This window comes from Homo sapiens, chromosome 7, assembly GCF_000001405.40.
Source record: "Homo sapiens chromosome 7, GRCh38.p14 Primary Assembly".
Lineage (NCBI taxonomy): Eukaryota > Metazoa > Chordata > Mammalia > Primates > Hominidae > Homo > Homo sapiens.
The window spans coordinates 40,240,243-40,257,248 of record NC_000007.14 but is presented as its reverse complement, the minus strand read 5'-3'; the positions used below and the strand labels follow the sequence as shown (position 1 = coordinate 40,257,248).

At 41.3% G+C, this 17,006-nt stretch overlaps 1 protein-coding gene and 1 long non-coding RNA gene across 21 annotated transcripts in view; one reads left to right on the top strand and one right to left on the bottom strand.

Annotated features, from left to right (window-relative positions):
* The window catches only part of SUGCT (succinyl-CoA:glutarate-CoA transferase), a 903,812-nt gene that overhangs the window by 781,568 nt on the left and 105,238 nt on the right, over positions 1-17,006 (bottom strand). The window lies entirely within an intron of this gene.
* The window catches only part of LOC105375245 (uncharacterized), a 57,295-nt gene that overhangs the window by 39,962 nt on the left and 327 nt on the right, over positions 1-17,006 (top strand). Inside the window, exon 3 of one of the 2 annotated variants that reach the window (XR_927195.3) lies at positions 5,324-5,401. The exons of the other annotated variant lie outside the window; for it this stretch is intronic. This is a non-coding gene — a long non-coding RNA (uncharacterized LOC105375245). Of the gene's footprint in view, positions 1-5,323; positions 5,402-17,006 lie in introns of those variants that run through there. 2 annotated transcript variants of the gene reach the window in all.

Genomic DNA, 17,006 nt, shown 5'->3' with positions numbered 1-17,006 from the left:
TATTCTATCTTAAAAAATTAAAAAATAGAATACAAAAATTTGCCAAGTGTGGTGGCACATGCCTGTAATTCAGCTACTCGGGAGGCTGAGGGAGGAGAATCGCTTAAACCCATGAGGCGGAGGTTGCAGTGAACCAAGATCGCACCACTGCACTCCAGCCTGGACGACAGAGAGAGACTCCATATAAAAAATAAAAATAAAAATAGGCTGGGCGCAGTGGCTCATTCCTATAATCCCAGCACTTTAGGAGGCCAAGGTGGGTGAATCACTGGAGGTCAGGAGTTTGAGACCAGCCCGGCCAAGATGGTGAAACCCCATCTCTGTTAAAAATACGAAAATTAGCTGGGTGTGGTAGTGGGCGCCTGTAGTCCCGGCTACTCAGGAGGCCAGAGCAAGAGAATCACTTGAACCTGGGAGGTGGAGGTTGCAATGAGCCGAGATGGCACCACTGCCCTTCAGCCTGGGTGACAGAGTGAGACTCTGTCTCAGACAAAAAAGTAAAAAATAAAAATAAAAAATTATGTATTCCAAATGTGATTACATTTGCAAGACTCTTTAGAAAGATGCCAACAAATAACTGTTTCTGTAACAAGGACTACTGACCATTGAGAATCCTCATTCCCAGTCCAAACAAAGGGCTTGAATCTTTCTCTCCCCAAAAAAGGAAATACACCAGCATCCTCATTCCTCACCCTATGTAACTCCAATGTAAAATTATTTAGATGAGAAAATTTTTAAGCATTTTCCTCAAATAATGTCTCTGATCTCATTTATTTATTCTGCTTCGACCAGCAACAGCACTATTTATAGGTAACCAAAAGATACCTATAAATCAGCTGTAGCTGACCTGGGTTGGCTTCATTGCTATGGGTCTTACTATGGAATCTTCATTGTATAGAGAAGGCCAAAAACTACTAAGATTGGCTAAACCAATCTTCTTAGCCATAAGGAACTGAAAACAAGGAACAGGCTGAAATTTCATCTGTATCTGGTCCCAGAAAGGACCTTAATCCACAACCCAAAAATGTCAGGGGAAAAGAAATTCTAAATATAAATCCCATTGACTCTTGAGACATGCAAATCATCTCTTCCTCTCTATTTTTCTCTCAGAAACAACTATGCAATTATACTTTTCTTAAATAAATTCCAATGGGATCATAAAATTTAAAGAAATTTAGATTTCATGAGATGACAATAAATTTAACCCTGATCCAACTCTGTCAAGGAGAGTGGTGGAGCAAGATGGTGGAATAAAAAGCTCCACCGACCATCCCCCAACATGCACACACAAGGAGTTAACAACTATCTACACCTTCATAAGGACCAAATATCAGGTGAGCATTCATAGTACCTGGTATTAACTCTGTCCATTATATTTACCAAATGAATAGAGAATTTCAAAGATCTATGTACAAGATGGCAGTAGATCAAGACCAAGGTCCAATCTCTCCTTCTTAGACTGTGATGGCGAAAATAAAATATCAAGGAGCAATGAGATTACAAATAAAGGAAAATATGCAAAGCTACAGATCATAAACAAACAATGCAGACAGTTATTTTCTTTTTTTTTTTTTTTTTTTTTTTTTTTGATACAGAGTCTCACTCAGCCGCCCAGGCTGGAGTGCAGTGGCGTGATCTCGGCTCACTGCAACCGCCCTCTCCCGGGTTCAAGCAATTCTACCGTCTCAGCCTCCTGAATAGCTGGGATTACAGGCATCCACCATCATGCCCGGCTAATTTTTGTATTTTAGCAGAGCCGAGGTTTCCTCATGTTGGCCAGGCTGGTCTTGAACTCCTGACCTCAGGTGAACAGCCGGCCCCGGCCTCCCAAGGTGCTAGGATTACAGGCGTGAGCCACTGTGCCCAGCCTCAGCCTGTTATTTTCAATACTTTCATTAAGTCAGGCAAAAATAAACCGTCTCTTGCCTAATCCTTCTACCAGTGTTCTTTTCTCTTGCAATTTATGGACAAGTTCAAACTGAAGACATATCCTTTCCAGGATTCTTTTTTTTTTTTTTTTTGAGATGAAGTTTCACTCTTGTTGCCCAGGCTGGAGTGCAATGGTGAGATCTCAGCTCACTGCAACCTCTGCCTCCCGGGTTCAAGTGGTTCTCCTGCCTCAGCCTCCTGAGTAGCTGGGATTACAGGTGACTGCCACCACGCATGGCTAATTTTCTGTTTTTAGTAGAGATGGGGGTTTCTCCATGTTGGCCAGGCTGGTCTCGAACTCCCGACCTCAGATGATGCTCCCCCCGCCCCACCTTGGCCTCCCAAAGTGCTGGGATTACAGGTGTGAGCCACCGCGCCCAGCCAACATATCCTTTCATTACTATTGTTTTTCAAACTTTAAAGCAAATATTTTATTTGGATCACATAAAAACTAAAGGATCATTACCATGAATGTGCTAAATTTTTGAAAAATAAATTTTTTTTATAAAAAAAGGTACATTTTATTTAAAAGGCATTTGAATGATAGAGGAATATAACAGAGGTAAAACCTGACATTTTAAACTACAGAAGATTGCATGATCTTTTACAAAATAAATAAATTGTTGGCTGGGTGCGGTGGCTGACACCTGTAATCCCAGCACCTTGGGAGGCCAAGGCAGGTAGATCACTTTAGGTCAGGAGTTCAAGACCAGTCCAGCCAACATGGTGAAACCCCACCTCTACTAAAAAATACAAAAATTAGCTGGGTGTGGTGGTACCTGTAATCCCAGCTACTCAGGAGGCTGAGACAGGAGAATTGCTTGAATCCAGGCGGCAGAGGTTGCGGAGAGCCGAGATCACACCACTGCACTCCAGCCTGGGCGACAGAACAAGACTGTTGCAAAAAAATAAATAAGTAAATAAATAAGTAAATTTTTAGCAAGCATTAGATATTTCAGAATAAGACATAATCCTTCCACAATGAAATACTTTCTATGAAAAAAGAAACATCTCAAATAGGGGAGTCCCTTTCCCCCAAAAGACATTTCTTGAAAAACCAGGATTCATTGTGTATGTGTGTATGTGTGTGTGAAATCTTTCACTAGCACTCTGTTTTAGAAAAGAGGTTTTAGAGGAATTTGAAGATTTTGCTTTCCAATATAAATTTCACAGACAACTCTTCTTTCGGCTTTCCTTCCATTTAGGGGTCAAATATAAGAAAAACAAAGTAGAACCACCTAGTGATATAACTTTTATGAAATAACGAATGAAATATCATATGAGCTTCAATAACAAACATCCGTAGTGTTAATGTCAGTCACTGGGATTGAGTCTATAAATCCAGTTCTAGTTGAACTAACTAAACTAAACTGAGCAGTCAATTCAGTCAACCAACAAGTAAGTTGTGTAAAGGTAGAAAAACATGCTTGTTTATTTTCTCTATATTTATTTGCAGGTTCCCTGAACTAACTAAGAATCTAGTTATTTTAAAACATGTAGGCCGGGTGCAGTGGCTCATGCCTGTAATCCCAGCACTTTTGGAGGCTGAGGCAGGCAGATCACCTGAGGTCAGGAGTTCAAGACCAGCCTGGCCAACATGGCGAAACCCTCTGTCTACTGAAAATAGAAAAATTAGCCGTGCGTGGTGGCTCTGTCCAGCCACCGGGAGGCGGAGGTTGCAGTGAGCACAGGTGGAGCCACTGCACTCCAGCCTGGGCAACAGAGCGAGGCTCCGCCTCAAAAAAAAAAATGTAAATATATTTACACATTCGATCAAACAATATGTGAATGCCGATTATGTTCCAGGCATTGTTCTAGATTTGGGGGGTACAGTACAGCCAGTCCGTGCCTTCATAAAGCTTACATCTTAAAGGTAGATAAAGAAAGTAACTAATAAGAATGAAATATAATTTCACGCATGAAGATGACTGTTATGAAGAAAACTAAAGGAGGATAAGGAGCTGGAGAGTAACTGGAAACACTGTGAGGGTGGTTGGACAACCTAAAAGGGATGTCACCTTTCAGGACTGAACCTCCAATTAGTAGTACACTAAATCAAATATTCCATTTATTGACCACATACTCTTATTTAGGGATGTTAATAGGTACCATCTTCACAACAACCACTAGAAATAGTTATGTTATCCCCATTTCACAGATGAAAAAAGGGAGGTTCACAGTAGTTTGTCTAAACAGCTTATCTAAATTTGCATAGATAATAAATGGCAGAGCCTGCATTCAAATGCTATGTAACTCCAAACCCCATGTTCTTTGCACTATATTACACAATTGCTGATAAAAAATCAAAATGGCCTCATTATTTCCAAAGTTATATTTCCACAGTTATAATATTCATTAGCTTTAATAAGTTTTAGCCTTGCATGGTGGCTTGCACCTGTAATCCCAGCACTTTAGGAGGCTGAGGTGGGGATCACTTGAGCCCAGGGTTTCAAGACCACTCTGGGCAACATAATAGGTCCCTGTCTCTATAAAAACTGAAAAACATTAGCCAGGCCTGGTGGCATGTGCGTATAGTCCCAGCTAGTTAGGAGGCTGAGGTGGGAGGATCCTTTGAGCCCAGGAGTTTGAGGCTGCAGTAAGCCATGACTGCACCACTGCACTCCAGCCTGGGTGACACAGCAAGACCCTATTTCAAAAAATAAAATAAGTTTTAATAAACCAAATTCCTATTATATACCATATTCCTGAGAGTCATTAGAAAATAAAAAGAATGATGTTATTAATATTAATTCTTAAAATGTAGTACTTTCAGGATGACTATCATTTCTGAAATAGTTGTATGTGGAAATTCTTAGTAAAATTTGTTCTGTTTCATAAAATATCTTACATTGTTTGAAAGGTACCCCAAACATTTATCACAATAAAAAACAGAGTTTTTTGGGCCAGGCACAGTGGCGCATGCCTGTAATCCCAGCACTTTGGAAGGCTGAGGCAGGCAGATCGCTTGAGCCCAGGAGTTAGAGACCAGCCTTGGTAACATGGTGAAACTCCTAGCTAACAAAAAATTAGCCAGGCATGATGGTGCATGCCTATACCCCAGCTACCTGGGGGGCTGAGGTGGGAGGATCACTTCAGCTCAGGAGCTCGACGCTGCAGTGACTGTGCCACTGTACTCCAATCTGGGCAACAGAATGAGACCCTGTCTCAAAAAATCTTAAGATTTTTTTATCTTGAAATCTTTATATGATCTATAGAACCATAATTTTAACAAATAAAATGTTAAGTACATCATTTCATTCATAAAGATAGAATATTGAAAATCTCTTCAATTTTCTGGTGGTGAACAAACACATTAAGGCAGAATTCTACCAACACATTTTTTTCTCAAAAACATCTCTATTTATTTCTTTGTTTTTTTTTTTATTTTTCCTAGGTCATACAAATTGGTCCTATTAACAACCGAAGAAAGGAGAACAAACTTAGGTTATGGACTTGAAAGGATAAAGCCAAGCAAAAGATTGAAGTGCTGCCTGTGTGGACAGCACCTCACTGCTCCTTCCTCACCAAGACAATACTGAGGGGAAGAAAGGCCAGTTGACTGAATCTAAATTATGCTACCAAAAATCTCTAAGGGGGGAAAATACAATGAAATAATAAATTAACACTGGGAAAAGTCAACAAAAATACCCTTAAGGAAGAAAGTCTCAGGCCCAGAACCAAGACCAAAGGTGCTGCCAGGATTTGCCACGTACCTTCATGTGGGAGTGGGACGCACCCTTGGCTGGGTGGAGGATGCCTAGCATAGGGAATTGGCTGGGGTCTTGGGAAGAGGGCTGACCCCTGAACCCTATAAGGACAGCACTCAGCCCCGCAAGGCTTGGCCTCCTGTGGTACGTTCTCTTCAACCTCATCCCACTTCTATGCCTTATCTCAGTCAACTGCAAATTGGGGGAATTATTGTTGCAGTATAGAATTTACATGTTATGGAACTTGACTAGAGTTAGGTTATGCAAAGTAAGTAAAAGTACCTGACAGCACTTACTAAGTAAAAGTATTTACATATAAAGGTGAAGTAAACTTTGACTAAGTACAAGTAGTTAATTAGCAGCAATTGGGAAGTGAAGAGAGGGAAGATGGAAGGAACGAATGTTCGAATGCTAATCATTGCTCAGAACATGAAATCAATACATGATGGAACATGTAGGTAATAGTTAAAGAAGCATGAAATGAGGCAGGACATGGTGGCTCACACCTGTAATCCCAGCAGTTTGGGAGGCCGGGGTGGATGGATCACAAGGTCAGGGGTTCGAGACCAGCCTGGTCAAGATGGTGAAACCCCCGTCTCCACTAAAACAAAAATTAGGCGCAGTGGCAGGGGCCTGTAATCCCAGCTACTCGGGAGGCTGAGACAGGAAAATCGCTTGAACCCGGGAGGCAGAGGTTGCAGTGAGCTGAGATCACACCACTGCACTCCAGCCTGGGCAAAAGGGTGAGACCCCGTCTTAAAAAAAAAAAAAAAAAAAAAAAAAAGAAGCGTGAAATGACTTCAACATCTTAAGGGTTTTCATAATCTCCTCTCAACCCCCACAGGATCTTTTAGTAATGATTACTTTTGTAAAGAATAAACAGTAGCCAAACTGGAGCAATACCCTCTATTTCACTTCAATTAATTGTTCTTCTGTTAAATTCAATTAAATTGTATACTTATTTGCTTCAAATTAGCAAAAATGTTATTATCTCATCCTTATAAAATAATTTATGTTTGTCATATGCTATGAATATGCCAACGTATAAGCATAAACAGATGTCAACATTGATGCTTACCAACTATTAACACTAGGAACTTCTGACTGATGAGATGAGGATAATTTGTGACTTTCTTCCCCATTATTTTTGACATTGTTTCAGTTTTATAATAAATATGTATTATATATAAGAATAATTACTTTAAAAAAAAAAAAGACAAGATCTTGCTCTGTTGCCCAGGCTGGAGGGCAGTAGCACTATCTCGGTTCACTGCAACCTCCATCTCCTGGGCTCAGGCAATCCTCCCACCTTAGCCTCCAGAGTAGCTGGGACTACAGGCAGGCACCTCCACGCCCCGCTAATTTTTTTGTATTTTTTGTAGTCATGGGGTTTCGCCATGTTGCCCAGGCTGGTCTCGAACTCCTGAGCTGAAGCAATCCTCCTGCCTCAACCTTCCAAAGTGCCAGGATTACAGGCATGAGCCACCATGTCTGGCCCAAGAATAATTACCTTTAAAAGCCAATTAAGCCGGGCGCAGTGGCTCACACCTATAATCCCAGCACTTTGGGAGGCCGAGGCAGGCTGATCACCTGAGGTCAGGAGTTCGAGACCAGCCTAGCCAACATAGTGAAATCCCATCTCTACTAAAAATACAAAAATTATCCACGCATGGTGGTGCACGCCTGTAGTCCCAGCTACTCAGGAGGTTGAGGCAGGAGAATCTCATGAACCCAGGAGGCAGAGGTTGCGGTGAGCCGAGATCGCGCCACTGCACTCCAGACTAGGCGACAAAGTGAGACTCTGTCACACACACACACAAAAAGTCAATTAAAATAAAGTATAAATAAAACTAGCAGTTAAGTTATTCCACCATTAACTCTGACTCTAACTCTGACCGTAATCAAAGGTCAGATATATTTAAGCAGTGTCATGTTAGAAAGGTGCATGAATTAAGAAAAACTTCATTACTTAACCTAGACTATTTAACCTCTTTTGTTAGTGAACTAATACTTATAATGGTTAAGATTAAAATCAAGGAAATATGTTATTCTAAGTCATAAAATAAGAAATATATTTTATATGTGTAAGAACCCATAATTTCTATAATATTTATTAAGCGTGAAGTTCTTTCCTAGGCACTGAAGATGTAGCAATACATGACACCTTTCTTGTGGAATACATTATATAGTCTTATATTATATATATTATATACTTTATTATATTATATGTAATATTTGTATATAATATATTCTATATAATATAATTATATATATATATATATATATATATATATATATAGCTTTTTGGTGTTTTTTGTTTTAAGACAAGGTCTCACTCAGTTGTCCAGGCTGGAATGCAGTGGCAAGATCATGGCTCACTGCAGCCTCTATCTCCTGGGCTCAAGTAATCCTCCCACCTCAGCTGCCTGAGTAGCTGGGACTGCAGGTTCATGCCACACCACCTGGCAAATTTTTTAAATTTTTACTAGAGACAGGGCTTTCCTATTTTGGCCAGACTGGTCTCAAACTCCTGGGCTCAAGCAATCCTCCTGACTTGGTCACCCAAAGTGCTAGGATTGCAGGCATAAGCCACCACATCCAGCCCAGGGAACATGTATTTTAACCCATAGCAAATACAGTTGAATTTTTAAGAGAGAGTGAGAGAGAGAGAGACAGAGAGAGAGGGAGTGTGTGTGTGTGTGCGTGTGTGTGTGTGTGTGTGTGCGAGCGCGCGCGCGCGCTGGAAAGAGCCACATCTCTACTTGTTTATTTGCATAGATATTTCTAACTTAAAACAGGTTTTTATTCTCAAACATTGCTGACAGGAGTATAAAATGGTTCACTCTTATAAAATACAAATACCTATCAAAAATACAAATGAACTAATCTGTTGACACCAGAGCCTCCTTCTAGGGATTTTTCCTACAGATATAATTGTACATGTGGGGCCAGATGTGGTGGCTCATGCCTGAAGCCAAGATCTCACCACTGCACTCCAGCCTGGGCAACAGAGCAAGATTCCATCTCAAAAAAATAATAATAATAACAATAATAATTGCGCATGTAGAAAATTACATAGGTGCTAGGATGTTCCCTGTAGTGTTACAGTATTAGTAAAATAATGGAAAGAGACTAAATGCCCAGCAAGAGAAGGTTAAATAAACTATGGTACATCCACAGGTATAGACACAATAAAAGCAAGTGTATTGATATAGGATAATCTCCAGGAAACATGATTTAAAATAAAATACAATGCAAAACATTCAGTTTAGGTAACCCTAAAAGTAAGAATCAAAACTATAGGCCGGGCGTGGTGGCTCATGCCTGTAATTCCGGCACTTTGGGAGGCTCAGATGGGCAGATCACCTGAGGTCAGGAGTTTGAGACCAGCCTGACCAACATGGAGAAACCCTGTCTCTGCTAAAAATACAAAATTAGCCAGGCATGGTGGCGCATGCCTGTAATCCCAGCTACTTGGGAGGCTGAGGCAGAAGAATCGCTTGAACCCAGGAGGCAGAGGTTACAGTGAGCCGAGATCACGCCACTGCACTCCAGCCTGGGCAACAAGAGTGAAACTCCATCTCAAAAAAAAAAAAAAACAAAAAAACAAAAACACAAGAATCACAACTATAAACCTTCTAGAAGAATATCTTCAAAACTAAGGGTAAGCAAAGATTTCTTAAAGAGGACATAAAACACATTAACCATAAAGAAAATAAATTAACTAATTTGACTTAAATAAAACTTAAAACTACTTATCAAAAGATAGCATTATGATAATAAAATGGCAAACCACAGGCTGGGAGAAAATATCAGCAATGTATACATCTCACAAATACTTGTATTTAGAATATACAAAGAAATCCTTTAAATCACTGAGGAAAAGACTAACACTCCAATAAAAACAAAGGAAAGGCCGGAACCTATAGTTCACATAGATATCTAAATGTCTACTAAGCATAGAAAACACATCTTAACTCATCAGGGAATTGCAAATTCAAATCACAATCAGCTGCTACTACATACTCACCAAAATGGCTAAAATTTAAAAGACTGGCCAGGCACAGTGACTCACACCTGTAATCCCAGGACTTCGGGAGGTCCAGGCGGGTGGATCAATTGAGGTTAGGAGTTCAAAACCAGCCTGGCCAACATGGTGAAACCCCGTCCCTACTAAAAATACAAAAATATTAGCCGGTCATGGTGGTGGGTGCCTGTGATCCCAGCTACTCAGGAGGCTAAGGCAGGAGAATTGCTTGAACCCAAGATGCGGAGGTTGCAGTGAGCTCAGATCATGCCACTGCACTCCAGCCCGGGCAACAGAGCAAGACTCTGTCTCACACAAAAAAAGACTTGCATTATCAAGAGTTGGTGCAGATAATTAAAACTCTCAAACACTGCTACTACAGTCTAATCTGGCAACATTCCAGAAAACCAGCAGCTTACTAAAGCTAAATATACATCTACCCTGTGACCCGTTAGTTTTTCACTTGTAGGTATATACCAAGAGAAATCAATACGCATGTCAAACAAAAGGCATTCAGAAGAGAGTTCAGTTTTATTCACAAAAGGCAAAAACTAAAAACAACTCAAATGTTGATCAATAGCAATGTGAATACTTTGTGGTATATTCATAAAATGTAATACAATATACACAGTAAAAACACATCACTGATACACACAAAATTGAATGAACATTACAAGCCTTCAATTAGTCCAAGCATGGTGGCTCACGTCTGTAATCTCAGCACTTTGGGAGGCTGAGGTGGGCAGATTGCTGGAGACCAGGAGTTCAAGACAAGCCTGGCCAACATGGCAAAACCTCGTCTCTACCAAAAATACAAAAAAAATAGCCAGGCATGGTGGCGTGTGCCTGCAATTCCAGCTACTTGGGAGGCTGAGGCACGAGAATCGCTTGAACCTTGGAGGCAGAGGTTGCAGTGAGCGGAGATCATGCCACTGCACTCCAGTCTGGGCAACAGAGTGAGACTCCTTCTCAAAAAAAAAAAAAAAGCAAGCCTTCAATTAAACAAAAAAGTCAGGCATAAATCAGAACACACTAGGCCGGGTGAGGTGGCTCACATCTGTAATCCCAGCACTTTGGGAGGCCAAGGCAAGCAGATTAACTTGAGCCCAGGAGTTCAAGATCACCCTGGTCAACATGGTGAAACCCAGTCTCTACCAAAAATACAAAAATCAGCCAGGTGTCATGGCAAGCACCTGTAATCGCAGCTACTCAGGAGGCTGAGGCACAAGAATCACCTGAACCCTGGAGACGGATGTTGCAGTGAGCCAAGGTTGCACCACTACACTCTATCCTGGATGACAAAGCAAGACTCCATCTCAAAGAAAAAAAAAAAAGAACATGCTATATGGTTCTACTTAAAGAAGTTAAGCTAGCATATAGTATCAGAAGTCAAAAATAGTGGTTATCTCTGGAGGAGGTAGTATTGCTTGGGAATAGAAAAAGAAACTTTCTGGAGTGATGGAAATATGCTGTATCTTAAACTGAGTAGTGTCTATCCAAGGTGTCTATATTTAAAAAAATAATAATAATCGAACCCAGCCTGGGCATCATGGAGAGACCCCATCTCTACAAAAACTACAAAAATTAGCTGAGCGTGATGGCATGTGCTTGTAGTTCCAGCTATTCAGGAGGCTGACATGGGAGGATCGATTCAGCCCAGACTGCAGTGAGCCATAATCGCACCACTGCACTCCAGCCTGGGCAACAGAGCAAGACTTGTAATGTTTGTAATGCAAAGAAATGATAAATGCTTGAGGTGATGGATACCCCATTTATCCTGATGTGATTATTATATACTGTATGCCTCTATCAAAAAATCTTACATGCCCCATAAATATATATCTACTATGCCGGGCACAGTGGCTCACGCCTGTAATCCCAGCACTTTGGGAGGCCGAGGCAGGTGGATCACGAGGTCAGGAGATCGAGACCATCTGGCTAACACAGTGAAACCCTGTCTCTACTAAAAATACAAAAAATTAGCCGGGCGTGGTGGTGGGCCCCTGTAGTCCCAGCTACTCGGGAGGCTGAGACAGGAGAATGGCATGAACCCGGGAGGCAGGGCTTGCAGTGAGCCGAGATCATGCCGCTGCACTCCAGCCTGGGTGACAGAGCGAGACTCCATCTCAAAAAAAAAAAAAAAAAAAAAAAAAAAAAAAAAATATATATATATATATATATGTCTACTACGTACCTATAAAAATTTAAAATAAAAAAAAAAGTTCATGGCCAGGTGCGGTGGCTCACACCTGTAATCCTAGCACTTTGAGAGGCCAAAGCAGGCGGATCACTTGAGGTCAGGAGTTTGAAACCAGCCTGGCCAACACGGTGAAACCCCATCTCTACTAAAAATACAAAAAAAAATTAGCCGGGCATGGTGGCAGGTGCCTGTAATGCCAGCTACTTAGGAGGCTGAGGCAGGAGAATTGCTTGAATCTGGGAGGCGAAGGTTGCAGTGAGCCGAGATCATGCCACTGCACTCCAGCCTGGGCAACAGAGCAAGACTCTGTCTCAACAACAACAAAAAAAAAAGTTTAAAGAGGAAGACTATTTTGCTTGGTTTTGAATAGAATATCTCTGGAAAGATACAAAAAAGAACTGCTAAGATGGATTTCATCTGAGGAAGAGAATAAGGTGGGATGGGCACAGAGGAAAGGAGATTTATATTGTGGACCGTTAGACACTCAAGGAAAAAGACCCAGTTTATGTCCCAACATAATCATACAGAGGACCTTCCTGCTCTCTCTCTCTCTCAAAACTGTCCTGGTTTGTATGATGAATTATACGGTCCACCTACTTATGTATCTTATGGATTTAGTATTATGTGAATGTATTACCTCTTCGAAAAATAAATAAAATAAAAACTAAGAATAATACGGTGCCTTTTGACAGCAATGTAAGAGCAATTTCTCCTTGTGTAATTTTGTGTTTTCTTAGTTTTTAAAGGAGGAGATAAATATCTAAGGAACAATGCTTGTAAACTTGATTTAATCCATCCTGCACACTTGGGCCAAACTAATCTTACGAAGCACAGCTTTCATCATATCACTCCCCTTCTGAAACATCTTCTGAACTTCACTTTGAGCAAACAACCTCCCAACTTCTTTACTTGACCTTGAAGACTTGCCAAAGTAAGGCCTAAAGCAACCTTCCCCTTATGTCCTGAAACCTTAACTCTCAGCGCCTCTGTGACTGGCCTATTGTTTTCCCTAAGACCGCCTGATTCCTTCCTGCTTCTCTGCATTTGTTTTCCACTGTGTGATCTCCCCTGGGAATGTCTAGGAATGTCTTAATCCATCCACATTCTATCTATCTTTCCAGGCACCATGCATCTCAAGTCCCACCGCTTCCTTAAAGTCCTACCCTGAACCACATTTATACTTTATATATATTTTTTAATTTTGTTTTGTTTTGAGACAGAGTCTCGCTCAGTCACCCAGGCTGGAGTGCAGTGGCGCAATCTGGGCTCACAGCAACCTCCACCTCCCAGGTTCAAGTGATTCTCTTGCCTCAGCCTCCCAAGTACCTGGGATTACAGGCACCTGCCACCACACTCAGCTAACTTTTGTATTTTTAGTAGAGACAGGGCTTCACCATGTTGGCTAGGCTGGTCTCGAACTCCTAACCTGAAGTGACCCACCCACCTCAGCCTCCCAAAGTGCTGGAATTATAGGCGTGAGCCACCGCACTCTGCCTATACATCATCAAGTTACAATAAAAACTTCTCTCCAACAGATTCAGTGTAAGCCATAAATAGATTCTGAAGATGTTATTAAGTTTTTTTAAATTGTGAGGAGCATTTATTGCACTGGAAACTAGGACACAGAGTTGAATTCTTGGCTATCCCTACCATGGAAGTTCTCACAGAAACATCTAACAACTGCCACCATATCAACTTGCCCTCATACATCTGCCACTCTCAGCTGCTTGCAAAGAACTGCCTTCGTTGTCAACATCACATATATAGACATACACACACACAAACACACACAGACAGACACACACTCCCAAGCCCCAAGCCTCTAGGATCATCCAACTCATGAGTTTTCCAATGTTGTTAATCCTCAAGAAGAAAATTAAAGATGCTTTACCTTCCAATCTGATGTATTATCTGCAACATAACATACCACTAATTTTATTCAGTTTTCTGTTATTTTTATTTTCTCATTTTTCCATGCATATACATCTAATCTAGGGAAGGAAAAAATTCCTTACAGAGTAACTTATTATGGTACCTAATACAACATTACACATATGGTCAATACGTCTTTGTTCATTTGATTGCTCAGTATAATTCTTCTTGATGTTTAACTGTGCCAATATTTACAGTTGAATTATTACTCAGAACACATATCACATATGTCTGAGTCATTTACTTTCCAGAATCTCTCATACTTTGATTTCATTCCCAATCTCTTCAAATTCTGTATGCATTAAAAAAAGATGATAGATAGATAAACAGATGATAGAGAGAGAGAGAGATGGATGCAGGCATGGTTGCATGTGCCTTTGGTCCCAGCTACTCAGGAGGCTGAGTGGGGAGGACCACCTGAGCCCCGGGATGTTGAGGCTGCTGTGAGCCATGATTACACCAGCCTGGGCAACAGAGTGAGACCTTGTCTCAAAAAAAAAAAAAAAAAAAAAAAAAAAAATATATATATATATATATATATATATATGCCACATAGCACAGTACCAGATATTCATTTACTCATTTACTCAACATAATTGTTTACTAAGGGCCTGTTCTATGCATAAAGTAGTGACCAAATCAAGGACCACGGTCTTTCCTATGAGGCTTACATCTTACTGAGGCCCATTTTAGGCAGTCAGTGAACAGACAGCAGTGAATTAGAGCCAGAACCCCAAACTCTTTGAGTGCTCTCCCACTCTTTCAAATGGACTATTTACTACATCGTAACAAATATCAAGCAGCATGCAGAAGCAAGGTGCAAATACAACAGACATCAGGATCATTCTGCAGGTATCATGGGGAGTGGAAAGAGTACAGGCTACAGAAGTAAAGAAAACCTGGATTCAAAGTTGGGCTTTAGTACTTTACATATCAAGTTATGTAAGCCTCTAAGCTTCAGTTATAGAATGTGTCAATACGAGGCTCGGCATGGTGGCTCACACCTGTAATCCCAGCACTTTGGGAGGCCGAAGTGGGCGAATCACTTGAGGTCAGGAGTTCAAGACCACTCAACATGGTGAAACCCCGTCTCTACTAAAAATACAAAAAAAATTAGCCAGGCATGGTGGCACATGCCTATAATCCCAGCTACTGGGGAGGCTAAGGCAGGAGAATCACTTGAACCCAGGAGGTGGAGGCTGCAGTGAGCCGAGATTGTGCCACTGCACTCCAGCCTGGGTGACAAGAGTGAGGACTCTATCTGAAAAAAAAAAAAGAAAAGAAAAAAAAAGAGTTTGTCAAAACATACCTGGAAGTACCAATGTGAGGATCAAAATACATATGTAAAATGTCTATCATCTGTCTGGCATAGTGTAGGAATTCAAAATAGATTCTCTCTTTGTCCGTAATCAAATATAATCTAATCTGACAACACCACAGCATACGTAAAAGGCTGGATTTTAGATTTAGTAAAGGTCAACAGTAATTAGTTTACCCAAAATCACATGATAAAGACGGTTTTTTTTTTTTTTTTGGAGACAGAGTCTTGGTCTGTCGCCAGGCTGGAGTACAGTGGCGTGATCTCAGCTCACTGCAACCTCTGCATCCTGGGTTCAAGCGATTCTCCTGCCTCAGCCTCCCAAGTAGCTGGGACTACAGATGCACACCACCACGCCCAGCTAATTTCTGTATTTTTAGTAGAGACGGGGTTTCAGCATGTTGGCCAGGATGGTCTCGATCTCTTGACCTCATGATCTGCCTGCCTCGGCCTCCCAAAGTGCTGGAATTACAGGCATGAGCCACAACGCCAGGCCATAAAGACTTCTTTCATAAAATTTTCCCTACAGTATACTTTTTCCTTTTTTTTTTTTTTTTGAGACAGAGTCTCTCTTTCACACCCAGGCTGGAGGGCAGTGGTGCAATCTTGGGCCACTGTAACCTCCACCTCCCGGGTTCAACCAATTCTCTTGCTTCAGCCTTCCGGGTGGCTGGGATTACATGCATGTGCCACGATGCCCAGCTAATTTTTGTATTTTTAGTAGAGACGGGGTTTCACCATGTTGGCCAGGCTGGTCTTGAACTCCTGACCTTAAGTGATCCGCCCGCCTCAGCCTCCCAACGTGCTGGGATTACAGGCGTGAGCCACCATGCCCAGTCCCTATACTATACATTTAGATATGCCCAGTTTTGAATAAAAATGACATTATTATAACACTATAGGAAAAAAAGTTGCACTTTGAGTTTTTTCATTATAACACTAGTCTATATATTTGGAATATCACTCGATTTCAAGAGAGAAATATATGAGATTATCACTAAAAATATATTTGCATATAATAATGTATTTTCTCATCAAACTATTAAGTAAGGTAATAAATCCACAAGCAATAAGTTCAGCCACTGTTCCTTACCTCCCCAACCACATTTGGCCCCACTTCCTTATTAGTTCACAATAATCCAGTGACACTGCCCTTCTTTTGGCTCTTCAAAACTACCAGACTCTCCAGCATCTAGATGACATGCAATACCATGCATTACTCTCTAATGCTAATCGGCTAATGCTTAACAGGATCCCACCCTAAATATATGCCCTCAGAGATGCCTTCCCTGACCGACAACCCTGATAAACTTGGGCTCCACCGCGTAGGGTGATGTGGAGAAGCCTCCTGATGTCAGAGAAGCCTGAGTTCCAATCACTCATCTGACAACATGGAGTTATGCTACAGCACAGATACATGGCTGTGCAGTTACAGAAAAGTTCATATGCAATGGATATAATTGGCAATAGTGTGTGTGCACTGGCTGGTTAAAAATATTAGCCAAGGCTTTCAGAAGTGCTTTCCCGTACAATCTCTGCTGAGAGGCTTAGGGAATTGTTAATATATTGCTGATAAGATAAGGGAAAACAACTCTCTTAAGGGGGACTCCCAGCATGGCCTGATTCTTCTGATTCTTTTCTTTTTTTTTTTGGAGATGGAGTTTCGCTCTTGTCACCCAGGCTGGAGTGCAATGGCGCCATCTCAGCTCACTGCAATCCCTGCCTCCCAGGTTCAAGTGATTCTCCTGCCTCAGCCTCCAGAGTAGCTGGGATTACAGGAATGCAACACCACATCTGGCTAATTTTGTATTTTTAGTACAGATGGGGTTTCTCCATGTTGATCAGGCTGGTCTCGAACTCCCGAACTCAGGTGACCCGCCCACCTTGGCCTCC